The 21,660-nt window shown below is 39.7% G+C and overlaps 1 long non-coding RNA gene across 1 annotated transcript in view; it reads right to left on the bottom strand.

Moving 5' to 3' along the window:
* Window positions 1-21,199, bottom strand: part of GCLC-AS1 (GCLC antisense RNA 1) — a 75,418-nt gene extending 54,219 nt beyond the window's left edge. The window contains exon 1 of the long non-coding RNA NR_183318.1: window positions 21,054-21,199. This is a non-coding gene — a long non-coding RNA (GCLC antisense RNA 1). The remainder of the gene's footprint in view (window positions 1-21,053) is intronic.
* Window positions 21,200-21,660: the final 461 nt, after the last annotated feature.

The following is a 21,660-nucleotide window of genomic DNA, read 5'->3' as shown; positions in this document are numbered from 1 at the left end:
TCTCCACGGAAAAAGAAGAGTGAAGACATATTTCTTTGCTTTGGAAATAGAAAAAGTATTCTATATTCTTTCCTTACAGAGCTTGCTTTTATTTCTAAATCAATAAGCATATAAATAGAAAAAAAGAATATTTTACCCAGGAAACTGTGAGTCATATTGAATTGAATTGATGGGAGAGTGGCCATATAATCCTCAAACTTTTGACTCTCCCCACCACCCTGACCCCTTGCCAGGATGGCACTGGAAGTAAATCCAGTTCCAATGAAAATAAAAGCCTCATCTATTCTTAGTCTTTTAAGGGGACAGCATTGTTGACACTCAGAGACCTTCATGCAGCAACTTAGAGGAAATAGCTGTTCCATGTTTATGAAAGCATGGAAGCAAAGGTTTAAACCAAAAAGTTCTGCATCTTTTCTTTAGGCTGGTAAGCCTCCAGCCTCCGTGATGCTTTTATGAATGGTTGAGTTGCAGAGTGGGATGATATTACTCACTAATTTTTTGAGGCCTACTTAGTAATGAGATTACTAGTAGATATAACCCATGATCTCCAGGAAAGCTCATAGACAGGTACAGTAAAGACAGGTACAAGTAAAGACAGGTACAGTAAAGTAAAGCTTTACTGTATCTGTCTGTGAGTTTTCCTTGAGATTATGGATTACTAGTACAAGTAAGATACAATAAATATAATAAAGATAGTGCCACAATTACTAGTACAAGTAAGATATGATAAATATAATAAAAAGATAGTGCGACAATTCAAAATGGACCATAAACTTAAATGTAAAACGTAAAACTGTAAAACTTCTTAAAGATCACATAGGCAATAAATCTAGATAAATTTATTCTTATCTAAATAAATATTTACATATTTACCTAAATAAATCTAGGAGACCTTTGGTTTAGCAATGACTTTTTAGATATAGCACTAAAAGCATGATCTATAGAAGAAAAAATTGATAAGCTAGACTTCATTAAAATTAAAAACTGCTCTGCAGAAGTCACTGTTAAGAGAACGAAAAGACAAGCCACAGACTGGGAGAAAATATTTGCAAAAACATATCTCTGATGAAGGACTTGTTTTCAAAATATACAAAGAACAATTAAAACTCAACAATAAGAAAACAACCCAATTAAAAAGTGGGCCAAAGATCTGAACAGATACCACCGAAAAAGATATACAGATGGCAAATAAGCACACGAAAATTGCTCCACATCATATGTCATTAGGGAATTGCAAATTAGAATAAAATGAGATACCACAGCATGCCTATTAGAATGGCTAAAGTCCAAAAGGCTGACAACACCAAATGCTGGCAAGGATGTGGAGAAACAGGTACTTTCATTCATTGCTGGTGGAATGCAAAATGATACATGCACTTTGGAAGGTATTTTTGCAGTTTCTTACAAAGCTAAACATCATCTGACCTTATGATTCAGCAATCTCACTCCTTGGTATTTACCTAAAGGATTTTAAAACTATGTCCACACAAAAATTTGCACATGGGTGTTTATAGCGGCTTCATTTATAAAACTTGAAGGCAACCAAGATATTCTTCAGTGAATGGATAAACTGTGGTACATCCAGACAATAGAATATTATTCAGCCCTAAAAAGAAACAAGCTATCAAGCCATGAAAAGACAAGAAGGAAAGTTAAATGCATATTGCTAAGTGAAAGAAGCCAATCTGAAAGGCTCCATACTGTATAATTTGAACTATATAACATTCTGGAAAAGATAAAACTGTGGAGACAGTAAAAACATCAGTGCCTGCCAAGAGTTCAGGAGGGTGGGGAGATGGATGAATATGCAGAATGCAGGACATTTTTAGGACAGTGAAACTGTATGATAATGGTGGATATAGGACATCGTGAATTTGTCAAAACCCATAGAACTATACAATAGAAAGAATGAACCCTAATGTAAACCATGGACTTTTGGCTCATAGTATGAACCAATAGTGGTTAACTGGTTGTAATTCTTTGATAAACTAGTTGTAATTAATACACCACACTACTGCAAGATGTTAATAGGAGAAATTAAGCAGAGGGAGGTGGTGAGGAGAGGAAGTATATGGAACTCTCGGTACTTTCTATGCAGTTTTTCTGTAAACCTAAATGTGCTCTTAAAAATATATGTGTGTGTGTTTGTGTGTGTGTATATATATACATGTGTGTGTGTGTGTATGTGGCTCCACAGAGGAGCTAGACTAAATCTGTCTCTGGGGAAGTCAGGGAAGGCTTCCTGGAGGAGGCAAACCCTGCAGTGAGTTCTAAAGAGGAGGAAGAGGAGGAAACATAGAGAAAAGGGGACTATGGGAATACAGGTTATTACAAGTGTAAAAGGCTGAATAATGGCTTCCCAAAGATATCAAGTCTTTAAAAAATTATTTTTTTTTTAGAGACAGGGTCTCACTATGTTACCCAGGCTGGTCTTGAACTCCTGGGCTCAAGTGATCCTCCTGCCTTGGCTTCCCAAAGAGCTGTGATTATAGGCATGAGCCACCACACCCACACCCCAGAGATACCAAGTCTTAATCCATGGAACCCGCAAATGTTGTAATATAAGGAAAAACATCTTTGTATAAGAGGCACAATTAAGTTAAGGATCTTGAGATGAGATTATTTTGGTCTATCCAGGTGAGCTTTAAATCTAATCACAAGTGTCCTTAAAGAGAGAAGCAGAGGGAAATTAGACACGTGGAGGAGAAGGTGATGTGGAAATGGAGGCAGAGATTGGCATGATGCAACCACAAGCCAAGGAATGCTGGCTGCCACCAGAAGCCTCTGGAGGGAGGGTAGCTCTGCTGATACCTTGATTTCAGCCAAGTGAAAATGACATTGAACTTCGGGCTGCCAGAACTGTGAAAGGTAAATATCTGCTGTTTATAAGCCACCAAGTTTGTGATAATTTATGGCAGTCACAGGAAACTAATACAACAAGCAAATGCAATAATATATTTCTAGAGCACGTATTGCATGTCAGATGCTTTTTTTTTTCTTTTTTTGAGACAGAGTCTCACTCTGTCACCCAGGCTGGGGTGCAGTGGCATGACCTCGGCTCACTGCAACTTCTGCCTCCCGGGTTCAAGCAATTCTCCTGTCTCAGCCTCCTGAGTAGCTGGGATTACAAGCGCCCACCACCACTCCCAGCTAATTTTTGTATTTTTAGTAGAGATGGGGTTTCGCCATGTTGGTCAGGCTAGTCTTGAACTCCTGACCTCAAGTGATCCACCCGCCTTGGCTTCCCAAAGTGCTGGGATTACAGGTGTTAGCCACCGCACCCGGTCTGCCAGATGCTATTCTAAGTGCTCCGCATGTAGTGATTCATTTAATTCTTGTAACAACAAATGAAGTAGATACTGTTATTATCCTCATCCTCATTCTGTATATGGAAAAACCAAGGCTCAGAGAAGTTAGGTAATTTGACTCAGGTCACCACTGCTAGTAAATGCTATAGGTGGCATTCAAGGCCAGGCAGACCAGCTGCAGAATCCTTGTGCTTAACCACCGGGTAACACTGGCTTTGGACAGGAAGCAGCTGTAGTATGTGTAGGGGATACACATGAGGTTTGGGAGTGAAGCAGTGAGCAGCAAGAACAGGCTACAAGGGTCAGCAGGAGCAGACCATGGGATCTCACTGTCATCTAAAGATCCAGCTTGAGAGTGCTGCATCAGAATCACCCCCAAGAAATTATACACACCTAGACTGCTGAGCCCCACCCTGTTTCAGATTCAGTGAGGCTGAGGTGTGGCCTGAGAATTTGCATTTCTATCAATTGCCAGGTGATGCTGCTACTGCTGGTCCAGGGACCACACTTTGAGAACCACCATTCTTATTGTTGTTCTAGGTGATGAAAAGCTATTCAAGAGTTTCAAGCTGAGAATTAACACTGTTGGAACTACACTTTAATAAATTACCTAAAGGCTATGTGGGAAACATGCAAAGGTGTCAGAAGCAAAAGCTCAATATTTAAAATAGGAAAAAAGTATAGCTGTTCTGTTTCCAGAAGGAAGTAACAAGGAATTACTATTATATGGTAATTCAGCTTGTAGACTCTAGCATCTGTGAGACCTTAGGTAAATTACTAAACTTCTCCAAGCCTCAGCTGTCTCATCTATAAAGTGGAATTAGAATCATGAGGGTGAAATAAGCTAAAGAAAGTATAACACTTGCCATATAGTAAGCACCCATTATATAGAAGATGTTTTTATGTTTATTATTATATTATTAGGAGGGGCAGGGCAGAAGCTCCACCCTCCAGGATGGAATACTTGATCTCTGAGGCTTTTTTTTTTTTCATCTTAACACATGTATTTCAACATAACTATGCTTACAGGAATGTACTCATATTGGTTAGCAAAGTGTATATTAATTTGACTTATCCAAAGCAATTTGGACCAAAAAGTTGTACATGCATTTTGGGAGGCTGAGGTGGGAGGATTGCTTGAGCTCAGGGGTTTGATGCCAGACTGGGCAACATCATAAGACCCCGTCTCTACAAAAAGTTAAAAAAAATTTTAAAAATCATCTGGGCATGGTGGTGTGCACCTGTAGTCCCAGCAGCTCAGAAGGCTGGGCTGAGGATTGCCTGAGCTCAGAGTTTAAGGCTGCAGTGAGCTGTGATTACATCACTATACTCCGGCTGAGTGACAGAGCAAGACCCTGTCTCAGGAAAAAAAAAAAATTGTACATGGTTTAAATTTTAAACAGAAAAAAACCACAAGACTCACAATCTGGATTTTTTTTTCTTTTTGTCTATTACAAATGTATGAAGGATCCTCCCTCAAATGCTGTAAGGCAGGCAGCAAAAACATGGAGAAATTTGCATTTAGTTTACTTTAGAAAAATAACATGTGATGCACTGTAAAAGGCTAAAAATTGGAGCAGGAAAGCATCTTTGTCATATTTTAATGCCAGATTACACAAATCTAATAATTATAGTGTAGCCTTAGGGTGGAGGAGGGTATGTACACCTGTGAGACAAGTGCAGTAGCTGTGTACATCAAGTTCATGTGGTATATAGCTTCTAAATCTATACTCTCTAAGAGTCAACTATTCCCTAAGTCTCAGATAACACTATCGGTCTGAAGGACATTTTGAAAAACACTGGATTCGATCATTTTCTAAACATCAAGTTCTAAAATTATATGGTTTTAAGTGAACATTTTTCCTGACAAGTGAATTAGACTGATTTTTGCCAGATTTATAGAGGCAGGCATTGAATAATGTGCCTGGTCTTTCAAGGTGCTGGAAACGTTTTCTATGTTAGGCCATTAATCTTGATCACATTTCAATGAGACATGGAAAAAGTAGGTCTCGTCCGCCTTAAGTTTTAGATGAATAAGGCACTGAAAGTCTACACCCAAGGTCGCTGAAGAAATCTGTTTCAGAGCTGCCACTAGATTCTGTGCCTCTGGAGATCTCTTCCAAAGGACTTCCTGTTAGATTGTGCTGATACCCTTAAATAAGAGAATTCATGTGGAGTTTCAATCAGGAGGAATCTGGTCAACCAGAGTATCACAAGACTCGGCAAATGTTTATATTAAAAAACAAGCTAGGGGATAATCAGCTTTTTTCTTGTTTGCCAATATACCGAGAAAAAAAGAATCTTATTTTTGTTTTACTTTACAGTTCCTTAAAAGACATTGAGTATTTTTTCATATAGTTATGGGCCATTTTAATTGTGTCATTTGAATTGCCTATTTGAATCCTTTGTCTGTTTTTCTACACTTCTGTCTTCTTATTAAGGACATTAGTTCTGTGTTATATATTTTTGGAAAGTTTTTCCCATAGCCTGTTGCTGATATGAATGTGTTGTACACTTTAATGTCCAGAGAGAATGTAGTTTCTTCATTTTGTCCCTTGTCCATCATCTTCATGAGGCCTACCTGCTGAAGAGAAAACTAACTAAATGTCAAGCCAATTTACCCCTTAGCCTGATTTAACAATTTAAACAGGCCTTTTAGGTAATGCTCATTTTTAGGGGATAATTGTTTAGTCAATCTTGTATGCACCCCACCACCACTTTCTCCACTTTCACCACTGCTTCTCCCAAGATCAGATTTGGTAGATGAAAGAGGTGGGCTAATGTGAGCTCAGGAGACAGAGTGAAGGAGTGCTCAGGAATGTGCACAGTGCTCCAGGTCCTCACTAGCACCATCTGTAAAACAGCTGTCCTGGTGCTCACTGGGTGACCGTTGGCTCCATCCAAGCCACATGTATTCAGTAAGCATCTACCACTGGCATTCTGCAGCTGGTGACACCAAAGTCTATTTCTTCTCAGCCTGGTAAGAACCATAGCAGCCTCCCCACTCCCTTGGCTTCCTCTGGTCTTTGCTGGATTGCAGACTCCACTGAGCATCTGCCACATATTTCCTCTTTATAAATTTTCTTTATAAATTACCCAACCTCAAGTATTTCCTTATTGCAACACAAACACATATATATATATTTATATACACATAAACACACATATATACAAATATAGGAATACATCCATACAAATATATATGGCCCTCCGGCCTAGGTGACCAACACTTAAGTGTTTGGTGCAGGGCCAACCCACCCACTTTATAACAGGCTCCGATGGCTCTTAACTTGGTGTATCCACTTGGAGAAGCACAGGAATTCAGAAATACAATGACCTCTACCCAATCTGTCCCTCTCCTAACGTTGCTGCACACCACCATGTTAGGTGTGCAGCCCGGGCACACAACCCGGGCACAGCCATGTCCTCCACAACCCATGTAGGAAGTAAAGCAAGAGCTCTTCTGCCCTTATTCTCCTCAATTGATCTGACATGTCTTCCTCTCTTAGGACATGTGTCCAGTGATTTACTCTTCTACTATGTTGCCCAGTTCTTCTTCCCACAGTCTCCCAGGACTGGAAAGAGTGAATTTACCCTGGTTCTCCTTCTGTCTGGCTGGGAGTTCTCTAAGGTAACATGCTATCATCTGTCTCTGATTCCTGTCCCTTGGTATCCTTGTTCCTTGTGGCAAAATCCTATCCTGAATGTCAGTTGCTGATTATTAATGCTGTCTTGGCAGAAACAATATGCTTCTACTGTTTTCTTTGAGTTCTTACCATTTTTTATGTTTAGCTCTTTAAGCCATATGAACTTTTGTATATTGTATGAATCAAGGATATAACTTTCTATTTTTCTCCATGGATAGCTACTTGCCACTGTACCGTTTACTGAATCCAAACCCCACTGATTTTTATCACAGATGAATTTTCCATTAATACATTGATCTGTTTCTAGATTTGTTCCTCTAGCTCTGCAATATCATGGTAAGTAATTGTAGGGAATGTTCTGAGTCATTTTTCCTAAGTTGGGTTTTGTCCTTTGCCTGCTATATTCCTTTTCACCATATATATTTGTATGGATGTATTCCTATATTTGTATATACATGTGTGTGTATACATGTATGTATGTATATGTATGTCTGTTTTGTGTTGCTATAAAGGAATACTTGAGGCTGGGTAATTTATAAAGAAAAGAGGTTTATTTGACTCATAGTTCTGTAGGCTATACAAGAAGCATGGCTCTGGCATCTGCATCTGGTGAGGACCTCAGGCTGCGTCCATTCGTGGTGGAAAGCAAAGGGCAGCCAATGTTTGCAGAGATCACATGGCAAGAGAAGAAGCAAAGAGAGATGGGGAGAGGTGCCATGCTCTCTTTAACAACCATCTCTTGTGGGAACCAATATTGTAAGAACTCACTCAATCATTCCCCTGCTGCCAGAGAAATCATTAACCTGTTCATGAGGGGTCCACCCCCATGACCAAAACACCTACCATTAGGTCCCACCTCCAACACTGGGGATCTAATTTCAACATGAGATCTGGAGGGGAAAAACATCCAAACTATAGTAATGTATACACATATAGATGTAAGTGTGTGTGTCTATATGTCTTGCAAAATTTCCATGTATTTTCTTTCATTTTGCTAATGCTTGGAAGCTCTGCTAGATAATTCCATTTGTTCTTACATAATATATGTGATTTCTTTATGTTCTTTTCACTATATTTAACAGTATTTTGCTTCCCTGAATCTACATATTGATAGCCCACTCTCATTTTCTATCATCTAAAGAATGATATTTGGGGTAGTGAAGGACAATTGTTCTCACCTGAGATTTTTTTACAGTTGTTATAGTATCTGGGTTCCACCTCCTCTTCTGGGATATAGGTGACTGTCCTATTACAAGACTCTTTCACCTGCAGAGTGGGAAGGAGTGAAACAGCCTATTCCCATTGGCTTCACTTTAAAGTGAGTGGATGAGAGCCTGGGGTACCCTGAATGCCAGAATGAGAAGGACTTTATCGGGAATATCAAGTCCACACTAGCTGCCCCAGTTTATCCCCGTTGATTTGTTCTATTACTTAAGGAAAAATCCTTCCAGTCCACTTTTGACCAAGGAATGAATACCCAGTTGCTGTTGAGGTTGATGAAGGAGAAAGGGTAGGTATGTGGAGCCACATAATCTGTATCTGAATCTTCAATCAGTCCCATTGATTTCCACCCCACCTGTCAACTCAGACTTTTGAATCTGGAAGTTCTATGTAGTCTGCTGGGTAGATCAACTGCCTCTTGTATTTATGTTAGTGTTAATTTCCTTGACTCATCTTTATTATTAAATATTTGCTTTCTGGGTGTGCCCTATCTTGTTGTGGGCTTATACTTTTTAAAAAAATTTTGTTTATCATCATTTTAATGGGAGTCTCAGTAGGAAGAGTAGATAAATGTTTGTGCTTAATTAACCACCTGAATTGAAAGCATTTCCCTCTGGTTTACACATTTGATAATTCTTCAGAACTGTGGGTCTGTTCACGGTGTTCTTTTGGTTTCCGGCATTTGATGGAGATATCTATAGACATTGTAGATGTAGATATAGATACACTTTCCCCTGTGACTTCATAGAATGAACCCAAGGGGAAACTCATGTACGTTCAATCTGTGTCTTTTTTTTTTTTTTTTTTTTTTTTAGATGGAGTTTCACTCTTTTTGCCCAGGCTGGAGTGCAATGGCGCAATCTCGGCTCACCGCAACCTCCGCCTCCCGGCTTCAAGTGATTCTCCTGCTCAGACTCCCAAATATCTGGGATTACAGGCATGCGCCACCATGCCTGGCTAATTCTGTGTTTTTAGTAGAGATGGGGTTTCTCCATATTGGTCAGGCTGGTCTCGAACTCCCAACCTCAGGTGATCCGCCTGCTCGGCCTCCCAAAGTGCTGGGATTACAGGCGTGAGCCACCATGCCCAGCCTCAATCTGTGTCTTAATCCAGCCTCTCTAGCTATCTTTCATTAAGAAGCAACCCCCTCAGGATCTGTATTTCCGTGATTATGTTTTAGGGACTAATTGAGCCTGCGACACACCTTCTTTCTTGACCTCAAGCTGGATTTCAATACCAATGATCTCAAGAACTGACTATTGGAAGGAGACTCCCTGACACCTCTGACCACCCCGGGAATCATGTAGCTTGCAGCCTGTCACCACAAGCCTCCTGGTGGGAGTCAGGAGTGTATGGTATGAATACCAACACCTGCTGGAGATGGCACATATGCTTAAAGCTAACTTTCCCCATCAAACTTTCCTCCTCCACCAACAACATCACTGAAAGGACAGAATCCCATATCCTAGATGCTCCTTTGACACAAAAACCTGGAGAAATCACTGGGAGTAGTTCCTTCTTTCCTCTTGTTCAAACACTCACTCATCCCAAACCAAGTCTTCACCTTGAACCCAAATGCTAAATCAGGTTCCTTCTAATCTGGCAGTGTCTCTACCACATGCGCTAAATTCCAATAGAAGTATAGCCTGTTTTTGAAAGTAGGGTAAAAATAGATCCTATTTTTAGGATAAAAATAAATCAGGGTAAAAATATTTAAAAGCAATCTTTCTAATTACCATATTTTATAAAAGACACAGAGCAAGTGTGAAGATGCTTGTTTGTGAAGTGATGTGCAGCTATTGATGAGGGGCAGGGCAGACCCCTTGCCCTTGCCTGGGCTCCAGGTCCACAGTATAGGGGTAAGAGCTCGAGCTCTGGGGTCAGACTGTAAGAATCTTGATCTGCTTCTTATTGTCTGGTTTTAGACAAGTCACTTAACTTCACTAAGCCTAAGCCTTAGTTTCTTCATTTGCGAAATGGAAGTAATAACAGTAACTGTCATTAAATTCTCACTCCACTCCTTACCCAAGAATTTATTTCAAATGGACAAAGCTGAATGTTTACCCAAAACAACTATAAAACCAGCAAAGTAACTACAGGTGAACATTTTAAATTCTTGAGAAAAGGAGGACACTAAGCATTTCAGCTATTGATTAAGCAAAAACTTCATGGCTCAAAACAACCACCATATTTGTAACCACGATTCTGCAACTGGACTGGCCTCTAGTGGGAAGCACTTTGCTGGTGTTGCCAGTGGTCACTCAACTCAGGTGTGGAAATCTCAATGGTTTCATTCACATGTCTGGTGCCTCCACGAGGAGGGCTGGAAAAGCTGCGACCTAGTCAGATATGCCCCTCTTTCTCTCATAGCATGGAGTCTCAACATGTCTGGACCTCTTTAGATGTTGGCTCAAGTCTCGGTGATAGAGCATTCCAAGAGGAGACGTTTCAAGGTGTAAGTTTCAGTGTGTAAGTTTCAACGTGTAAGTGCTTATCAAGCTTTTTCCTTGCATCATGCTTTGCTAATTTCTCTTTGGCCAAAGAAAGCTTCATGGCCAAGTTGCAGTGGGAGGGGACCACAAAAGGGCATGGATGCTTGGAGGCATGATTCATTGGGAAACATTAATGTAACATTCTTCTACACTAAGGCAAGAAATGAAATAGAAAACCATTTTTTAAAAAAAAAAACATGTATTTGACCACATGCATTTAAAAATTTGTCTTTGGAAAAACATCATTATTTAAATTGAATGAAGGAAATATATACATCTTTCATATGCAAAAAGTCTTACAAATTAATAAGAAAGCATTCAGTCAGAAAATGGGCAAAAGGCAAGAACAATTTCCAAAAGAAGAAAAATGAATTGCCAATAAGCATACAAAAATGTTTCAACCTAACTAGTAATCAAAGAAGTGTACATTTAAAATAATTATATTATTCCATTCCCACATTTCATTGGCAAAGATAATGTGGTAGATTATATTTTTTACCAGTTATTCACTGCCTCTTCCTTTTCAAGGATTATAACTCTCTGCTTCACTGAAATCAGCCTTTGCAGTATGACTTGCTCTGACCAGTGAAATGTAAGCAAGTGTGATATGTGTCATTTCTGAGCAGAGAATTTTTAAGAGTCATTCTGGAGTTTCATTATCCCTCTGCTTCCTTTGGCATCAGACTGAGATGGGGCTGCTCCTTTAGTCTGAGCCCTGAGATCAATGGCACATGGAGAAGAGCTTAAGTCAATCTGCAGCTAACATATGTGAAAAGGAAAAAAATGTTGGTTGTAAGCCACTGCCATTTGCCAGGTCATTAGTTACTGCAGCATAATCTCACAAACACTGACTGACACAAATTACAGCGTTGGCAAGTTCATGAGGAAATGAGTATTCTTGTGACTGTTGGATGGAATAAAATTGGTCTAACCTTTCTAGAGGGCAATTTTTCAAGTGTATCACAGTTACAGTAATTGTAACTTTTGACTCAGTAATATATCTCCTGGAAATTTATTCTAAGACCATACACATAGAAGTACACAAGATATATGCAAAAAGATTCTCACTGCAGCCTTAGTTATTGTGGAAAATAACCTAAATTATTTCTTCAGTACATATCTTATTTGCCTCCACAGGTTTTCTTAGCTGTCTCATTGACCCTGGTTTGCTTTGTTTTACCTAAGCACTTGCTATGACTGACCTGCTAGGTGTAGACCTATAAAAATCTACCTCCTGGGGCCGTCAGCTACACATTTACAGTCTCTGGTCCTTCCTGTCACTTCCAAATTTAGATAGAGAATCTCATTTCAGGACATGGGATGTGGTTTGGCAAGTGACTCCCAAAGATGCTGAGTGATGTGAGGGAGTAAACTTCCTCATGAGACAAAATTTGACCAGTGGAAGAAAGAAGTCAAAAGGAGGCAGCAGATAAATACCTTCCCCTTCTTTCCTTTAAAAGACTGTTCCAAGATAGGATTTCTCCATACGGCCTTTCTGAGCACATAGTGCCTGATCCAGGAAGTGCCCCCGCTAACAGACTTTGCCTCTGAGAGTGTCATCAGGAAGCAAAACACATTGCATGGTGTTGCTCCTTCTCTGCCACTATTCCCTGTATCTTTTCCTCCACTCTTGCTGCCCTAGAATTGCATGTCCCAGTTAAAATCTGGGCTTATACAAGTTGGTTTTGAAAGTTGGTTTTAAAAATCAATTATGCCAACAGCAGCAATTTAAAATGGTGATGTACACCTATATTCACTAACTAGGAAAGAGCTGCGAGTCATAACTTTGGAGGTAAGTTACACTTGATTGCTTCTAGAAGGTAAGAGTTTGAATAGTTTTCATTCTTCTTTTAGTCAGTATGCATTTATTGTTGCACGTTCTCCAGTGAATATGTATTATAGTTATAAACAGAATAGTTTTTTAAGAGCACAAACAGTTCTTACACTAAAATGTTGCCAAAGTTTTGACGCTATATAATTTATTCTAATGAAGAAATTTTAATAAATAAATATATCAATGCTATGTCTACATGGAAGTAATTTTTACATGTGTAAATAGATCCATACATAGTGTACAAAGTACATAAGCCATTTTTGAGGGAACTTTTATCAAATTAATTTCTTTTATATTAGACTGTCTACTGACAAACTGCTTTACTCAGCTTCCAGTTTCAGAAACAACATTTAATAATTGCTTATTCACAAAGAACAGCAGTCCCTTTATTCACTCAAAAATTTTTGGCTTACAGCCTTGTAGGCAGAGTTCACTGCACTATTTATAACTGTCCACACAAATTGGTCATAAAAGGATGGTATTTGGGGTTAGGTCATTCAGTTCCCTGCAGAACTCAGTAATAAACCTAGTAGCTACACTTAGAAATGCTACTTTATTATTTATATTTAGAGTTTTTTTCTATTTAAAGTACAACAGTTTATTTAAATCAGCAACTTATATTTGAGTAAAGCTTTTTTTTCTGTTTCCAGCAGGTAGTTTACTTAATATTCATGTGCAATATGAAATAGAAAGATTCCTGTTCTTGGAAGAAAAATCTATTAGAATCAATTTTCCCTAGTCGCTGATATATATGGAGTTTCCGTGCTTGGGCAAGTCCTTGAAAACAAATGCAGAAACAAACTTTTAAATCCTTTATAAACCCCCATCATGTGGGAATGATAATATATAATTACCTCACTTGTTAAATAGCTCTATCTGTTCCTCAAAGGTTTATTTAAATATTGTTCTTTCATGAAAGGATGTTTTAAAACAAAAATAGGGGGAAGGAGGGGAAATAGAAGTGCTCAATAAACAGGTTTATTAAGGGAAATTAAAAATCTTCGTGGTTTCATATATTCTACTGTGGACTATGAATGATGGACTTCGGTCTCGAGGTTGAATTTGGTTTTTAATAGATGTAAATTCAAATATTTGGATTTTCTGGATCTAAAGCCAAAAACTTAAACAAATGAACATTTTAAAGTAATATTTGATTATTCTCTGAAAGAAAAGTAATTCTGCCTGTCTAATCCAGTAATTTACATAATTTAGTGATTTGCTTGTCGATAATGAACAAATTGCCCTTGCCCTAGTATATTACTGTAATGGTTCATTTTCATTAAGACGTCTGTGGCTGGGCACGGTGGCACATACCTGCAATCCCAGTACTTCAAGAGGCTGAGGCGGATGGATCGCTTGAGCTCAAGAGTTTAAGACCAGCCTGGACAATATGGCGAAATCCTGTCTCTAGAAAATACAAAAAATTATCTGGGCCTGGTGGCACGTGCCTGTAGTCCCAGCTACCCAGAAGGCTAAGTGGGAAGATCACTTGAGCCCGGGAGGTGGAGGTTGCAGTGAGCCAAGGTCGCGCCACTGCACTCCAGCCTGAGCAACAGAGTGAGACCCTGTCTCAAAAAAAAAGACGTCTGCCAACTTTTCAAAAAAGGGGTAAAGCTTTTTTTCAAGTGTGCAACCTAAACAGAAAAATGCGGAGTCAAATTAAAAAACACACTAAAAAAGAAAGGCTTGCCAAATTCTAGATTCAAATGAATTGGGAAATAGATGAGTCGATGGTTCATTACAGATGTGGTACCAATGTACAGAAGTAGTCTGAAAAAGATAATTATGAAATAAGCCACAATTGACTCTGAAAGGCCACTTAGGGTAGAGCAGAGAGGATGAAATGATCATTAAAATCAATGGTTAAGGCAAAAAACATCATCTTCTAACACACATTTCCTACACCTGGTGCTGTATGTAGTCAGAAGGGGTATGTGGATAACAATGTGAAATATGGAATAAAGAAAATAATCAATATTTCAAGCCTAATACCAATGAAATCACTGGTGTTCCCTCACTCTCCCAGGAACTGGGTTCCAGAGTTTCTTACACATTCTTCTTGCAGTACTAAGTGCTCTGAAGCTCAGGGTTGTTGATGCGTGCTCCATACGGCCTGTTCTCTTCTCTGTCTCCCAGGCTCTGCCCATTACCCAGTAGTGATAAAACTAAGAAAAAGTTTTCCATCCCTTCATGGCCTCTGCAGCCCTCACTTCTTGTGATTGGAGTCAATCTTCCTGTTAACTTTGTGACATATTCTTCCTCATGTCATTACTGTCATAAGTCTAGTCACTTCTAAGGATATTCTACTGCCCTCCTGAGAAAAAGAAAATTTTCTCCACAAGGATTTCAACACTTTTGTAAGGCCTCAGGCAAAAACTTGGCCCCATTTTGCTTGTTGCACCTGGTGCCACTAGATAGCGCTCTCATTTTATTCTTCCCAGTCTACCATCGTCACCAGTTTACATGATGCTTAGTCATACATCTGTCCATGGATACATAATAGCATTTTTCAGTGACCACCAGAGTCAGTAACTGTGCTCAGTCCTGGAAATTTAATGTCGAGCAAAGTCAAAACCAACCTCAGACCTTTTGGAACTTCCTTTCTAGGGAGAGGGGAGATATGGATCCAATAACCACCAAATGCATAATTAGAAACTATGTTAAGTGTTGTGAAGGAAAGGCTCAGAAAGCTGTTAGAGCATATATGAGGATACTCATCCATCCTGGCAGAAATGAGGGGTTTGTTCCAGGGAAGGCTTCCCTAAGCAAGTAACATTCATGCTGATATCTGAGTTTTCTATGCAAAAAGAAGAAAGAAGGTTTCAGGCAGAAGCAAGAATATGTGTTAACTCCATGACACATTCAGTAATGAAAGAAGGTTAGTGTGTAGGAGCTAAATACATCTGGAAACGTTGGGAGGTACTGAAAATCTACACATTCTGGCCAGGAAGTTAAGAAACAAAGCTGTTCAGCACCCTCCTGATTTTCTCAAATATCTCAGTCCTGAAACTGTCAACTTTCTCCATTCTAAGAGGCCCAACTAGGGGAGTCCTTGCTAAGCAGAACCCCCACCACTCCAGACAGATAGTATTGTGACCACGAAATCAGCTTCCTTCTGGTAGAGTACATCATGTGCAACTTTAAAGTTGCAATGTGTAATCAGAAAGGATTCTGACAGCAAAGGGTGGTGCAGTATCCCAGACTGGCAAGATCAAAGAGCTGTTACTATTCCTAGCCTAAAAGAGAATGGAGGGGGAAAAAAAAGCAGTTTTTAGAACTGGTATAGGTTAACTGTATGGAGAGGGCACTCGACAAGAGACACCACGTTTGATAAAAGAATCAGCCAATCTGTGATGGCCTCTTAGGGAGGCAACTGGGAAGAGAAAGAAACCAATCTGTCCTCCCACTCTCCAATCTCTTGTCACTGTTGGAACCCAACTGGAAGCCAGAGAGCAAGGACACCCACATGGGTCATTTTCCCAAGACATATAGCAGAATGTAAAATGGTGAACGGGCATACCCGATGGTAGTCAGGAGAGTTAAAGCATAGTGCCCAGTTTCAAATCTTAGAGGTGCCACTGAGAAGGGGCGTGGTCTTAGGAAGGTTAACTCATCTCTCCATGCTTCAATTTCCTCATCTTTAGAATGGAAATAATGCCAATAATACATTGGTTTGTTTTAGAGATTCATAAAGTGCTTAGAGTAGTGCCTGGCACATGGCTAGTGCTTACAAATATTCTTAATTTTTCTCTTAATTCATTTTACAGAAGAAACTGCAATTTAAAGAAGATAAATGACTTATTCAAGATCCCATTGCCAGAAGGGGCATAATCAAACCCAGAATCCAGGCCTTCTGGTTCTTGTCTTAGCACTGTTCTCTTCCCCAAGCTGTCTCTTCCACGCCCTTCTCCAGAATCACCACCATAATTATTACTGAACTGACTAATTCAGTGAGCACATTCTAAATTTCTTTCTGTTTGTTGGTTTATGGAATATTCACACTTTAAAAAATTTATTTTTTAAATAGGAAACTATTCCTCCTATTCTCTATAGCTTAATGCAAATAGAAACCTGAGCCCCTTCCTCACCCAGTTAACTTGGAATTATAGACCCTATCATGGTAAATGTGAGGTTGATGACAACGGGGCCTTTTTGGACTTCTCAGTGGAAAACTCTCAGCTGTACAGTCAACTTGGGAGCCTCTTAGGTTTTCTCATATACTCAAAGAAGAACTGAGGGATGACAGGTTAGATTTAACTAACTGAAATGCCTCAGAACAATTAATAACCCAAATAATTGGAATGGGTGGAACCAACCATCTTCTCGGTCTTAGGAAACATCCTACTAGAAGTTCCAGATCTGAGACAAGTATTCACAAGCTCACCCAGTGTTTATGTCAGTGGCCCTACCACACGATGAGACAACCAGGAATGAGATCTTAACTTTATCTTTGCCTCTGCTCTGTTGCTTGTTCCCCAAGTTCACCAGGTCACTAAGTCCTATATGTGTAAAGTAGCCAAGTAATTTATCATCTAAGTTAGGATGCTGTTGAGATAAGGGGGTAGTATTAACTATTACACTGGGAAAACAGGCACAAGCATGAACTCTCCTGGGCAAATTGGGACATATAATCATCCCAATCTTAGAGCACTTTGACTCCTATCACATCCTCCCTCATGACGTACATGCTACTGTAAGAAAAAGTCTAGTTATATCCTTATATCTAACTGTACAGAATAGACTTATTGTTGTAATCATTATATAAAAACAATGTATTAAGACTTACATGTTTACCATTTTCTCAGCCTTTTTTTTTTTTTTTTTTTTTTTTTTTTTAGATGGAGTCTCACTCTGTGGCCCAGGCTGGACTGCAGTGGTGTAATCTCGGCTCACTGCAACCTCCGCCTCCTGGGCTCAAGTGATTCTCCTGCCCCAGCCTCCTGAGTAGCTGGGATTACAGGTGCACACCACCACATCTGGCTAATTTTTGTATTTTTAGTAGAGAAAGGGTTTCACTATCTTGGCCAGGCTGGTCTCAAACTCCTGACCTCAGGTTATCTGCCCACCTCAGCCTCCCAAAGTGCTGGCATTACAGGTGTGAGCCACTGCGCCCAGCCAAACAAAGACTTTACTGTTGAAATCTATTGTTATTTTATTTATTTATTTATTTAAAGCTGAGTTTCCACAAGAAGATCAAGTTATTTTGTGTCTGAACAAGTAATCTTTCAATCTCAAACTTTGCTGTTAAATCTTAAATGCAGATTGATAATGAGACTTGAAGAGTCAATAAATCCTGGCATAAGTCTCCAGTCTATGACTAAGGGGTAATAACAATACAAAATAATACATACTTGGGCTTGGGAGAGAAAGTATCTAGATTGTCAAAGCCTCCTCTTCTATGCACCCCATAATCCTTCTGTTGCCCTTTTACCCGTCTCAACTCTAATATTAGTATTCATTCTCTCTGATTCAAAGAATTTATCTTTGTGGGGCCAGGCGCGGTGGCTCACGCCTATAATCCCAGCACTTTGGGAGGCCGAGGCGGGCGGATCACAAGGTCAGGAGATCGAGACCATCCTGGCTAACAAGGTGAAACACCATCTCTACTAAAAATACAAAAAATTAACTGGGAGTGGTGGCAGACACCTAATAGTCCCAGCTACTGGGGAGGCTGAGGCAGGAGAATGGCGTGAACCCAGGAGGCGGAGCTTGCAGTGAGCTGAGATCACGCCAGTGCACTCCAGCCTGGGAGACAGAGCGAGACTCCATCTCAAAAAAAAAGAATTTATCTTTGTGGTAGTGCCATAGCCTTCGGGTAGAGAGAGCTGATGAAATTTAACTTCTGATTATCTCAGGAAGCTGAGCTAAGTCAGTAATGAATGTGTACTTTGTAATTTTGTCTATTTGAACATTCACAACCTGCTGTTAGCCTTTTAAAAATCTCAGAAGTTTTAGGTTGAATAATATAAAACAAAAGCATCATAAAATTCACTAGAGAGAAAAAAATTGATTTTTTAACTAAGACTTTAAAAAGTAAATAGTGTATGTTCAAAGGAAGATTAGCGAATTGCTACAGTCACAGCTCAGTAACATTGGACTTGAACATCTATTGATAGTAAGTACTACGTTTAGCATTCATATGAAGATTATGTCTATAGACCTCAACAGTTTCATGATGCTGCCAAATAAAAATATTTTAATTTGCCTTTCAATTTTCCACACTTAATAGAGTCACATGCTATAACATTCCTTATAGATCAAGGATGCAAACATTTTCAGGGTTTAAGCTACAGGATTAGGAGGATTAAGCTAAGGATTAGGAAGAAAGATCATTACAATTCTCTGTCCTGTATGGGTTAACAATAAGCCTCAGCCTTTTTCTAACAATATTTGCTTTAGATAGAGATAATAGGTAGTCAAATAAATAAGTACTTCGAGGGCAGTACTTTGTGCCCAGTACGCTATCAGGAACCATGGACATTCGGAAAGAAGTCAAAGATGTCATCCCTGCATTTAGGAAATGCACACACTTGTTGGAGAGTAAGAATGTATATTTCTGTATCTACACAGCATTAAAAAGATCCACAGTGGGAGAGAGGAATATGGAAGCAAAATATTGGACAGAATGTGTTATTGACATAGATTCAACTATCTGTACCATAGACTTTAGAAAGGGGAAGCTAACTTTAGGCAGAAGTTAGTCACATAAGGCTTCATGGAGGAGGGGGGAGCCTTCAGACGAAAGTGGAATTTCTGGAGTTATATTAGAAAAGGGAAAGTGTTCCAGGGAGAGAATGGCACAAGCAAAGACACTAAAATAGTCCCTCCTTTATTAATCCATTCAGCAACCATTTAATGAGCACTTAGCTCATATGAAGACCAGTAACCAATATCTTCAAAGATGAAATGAAAGATGAAATCATGCTTCCTATCTTTATGGGAAAGGCTTAGGAGGAACTTCAATCTTATAATCCAGTACTATTCTGTAATCAGCTTTTGATGAGTATTTATTAAAAGAATGAGGCTTATCCTACTTTCCCAATGCATCTTCTTTCTTTCACATAATACCATCTATCCAGCTGACTCACATTCTTCTCTCTTTCATAAGATTGTTTCCCACTTGCTGCTCTCACTGCCCACAGTCATCAGCAACGTCAGCAGTTCACAGGGTGGGTGGGTGGGGGTTTCCAGAAACCCAGCTGGGATGTGTGGGTTAATAAAATCTGGAAGCAAGAGCTACCCGAGGACAGGCTAAGGAGTGATCATAGTTAGGAGCAGCCCAATAGCACTGTCATCTGGCAGCTGAGACAACAAATCATGGGAGAAAACAGGGATCATGACCTGCCGGCTGCTGTCAGCTGAAGCAAAGTGTAGGCAAATAGATCATATGCCATCCCCTGCCCTGAATCCTGAAGAGTTTCAGGTTCACATTCATTCTAAATGCAAGGCCAGCTCCAGAGAATATTGCAAAATGGGTTCTTAGTCATCAATGCCCTATTAACCTCTTGTTTGCTTCCCCTTTAGAGGCTCTTTTACTGTCCAATTGTGTATTTCATTTTTTCTTTTTCTTTTCTTTTTCCTTTTTTTTTTTTAAATGGGGCTTTGCTCTGTTGACTAGGGTGGAGCACAGTGGTGCGATCATGGTTCACAGTATCCTCGACCTCCCAGGCTCAAGCAGTCCTCCCACCTCAGCCTCCTGAGTAGCTGTGACCACAGACACAAGCCACCATGCCTGGCTAATTTATTAATGTTTTTTTGGTAGACGTGGGGTCTCACTATGTTACCCAAGCTGGTCTTGAACTCCTGGGCTCAAGAGATCCTCTCACCTCGGCTCCCCAAAGTGCTGGGAGCATAGGCATGAGCCACAGCGCCTGGCCTCAATTGTCTGTTTCTTTAGACCAGCAATGAGTTTTCCAAAGCTTTGTTTCCAAGGTAGATAGGCCTTTTCTTTGCCCACACAGAGGCAGCCGATCATTTCTAGAGAAAATAATGCAATTAGAACGGTTGGTTTATGCCATGATCTGAATGTTCGTGTCCCCCAACTTAAATTTGAATGCTGAGATCCTGACCCCCCGGGTGATAGAATTAAGAGATGGGGACTTTAGGGGGTGATTAGGTCGTAAGTGTGGAGCCCTCAAGAATGAGATTCATGCCCTTATGAAAGAGGCTCCCGCGAGTTCCCTTAACCCTCCTGCCAGGTGAAGACACAGGAAGCAGACAGCTGTCTATGAACAAGGAAGCAGGTTCTCACCAGACACCAAATCTGCTGACAGCTTGATCTTGCACTTCCAGCCTTCTGAACTGTGAGCAACAAATATTGATTGTTTACGCCATCAGTCTATGGTGTTTTGTTATAGCAGAAATGGACTTTGCTGCCTTGTATCCATCAACACCCTCTACTACAACAGGAAAATAGAAGTCATCTTTCTTTCCACCATGAAATTTAAACATATCTGCATACATGTTCATTGTCTTAGTCCATTTTGTGCTAGTATAATAGCACAGACCTATAAAGAACAGAACTTATAAAGAACAGAAATCTATTTCTTACCATTCTGAAGGCTGAGAAGTCCAAGATCAAGGCACCAGCATCTGGTGAGGGCTGCTCTTGGCTTCCACAATGGCATTTTGAACACTGTGTCATCCAAAGAAGAGAAACACTGTGTCCTCACATGGCAGAAGACAGAAGGGACAGAGGACCAAACTCCTTCATAAAGGGCTTTTATAACAACATTAATCCATTCATGAAGGTGGAGCCCTTATGACCTAAATACCCCAAAGGCCGCAACTCCCAACAGTGTTGCACTGGGATTAAGTGTCAGCATTCAAATATATTCTAAAACCCTCATTTATAAAGCCTTCTCTTTTACTTAACAAAGATAAAGGTGAAATCTTCCAGTCAATGGTGAGAAGACAGTTATTTTATAAATGATTTTGGGAAACCAGGTAGCCATCTAAAAATAAAACTAAAATTGTCTTAACCCCTCCCACTTGCACCAGGAAAATATACAATTGAATCAAAGATTTCAGAGTAAATAATGAAATTATAAATCAGTTCTAAGAAATCTCGAGAGAATTCTTCGAGAGTTGGAAAAACCTCTCTATGACACAAAACTCAAGAACCATAAACAAAAAGATTTATAAATTTGACAATACGA

Source organism: Homo sapiens, chromosome 6 (genome assembly GCF_000001405.40).
Source record: "Homo sapiens chromosome 6, GRCh38.p14 Primary Assembly".
Classification (NCBI taxonomy): Eukaryota; Metazoa; Chordata; class Mammalia; order Primates; family Hominidae; genus Homo; species Homo sapiens.
The sequence above is the reverse complement of the archived record's forward strand: the minus strand, read 5'-3'. Positions and strand labels throughout refer to the sequence as shown.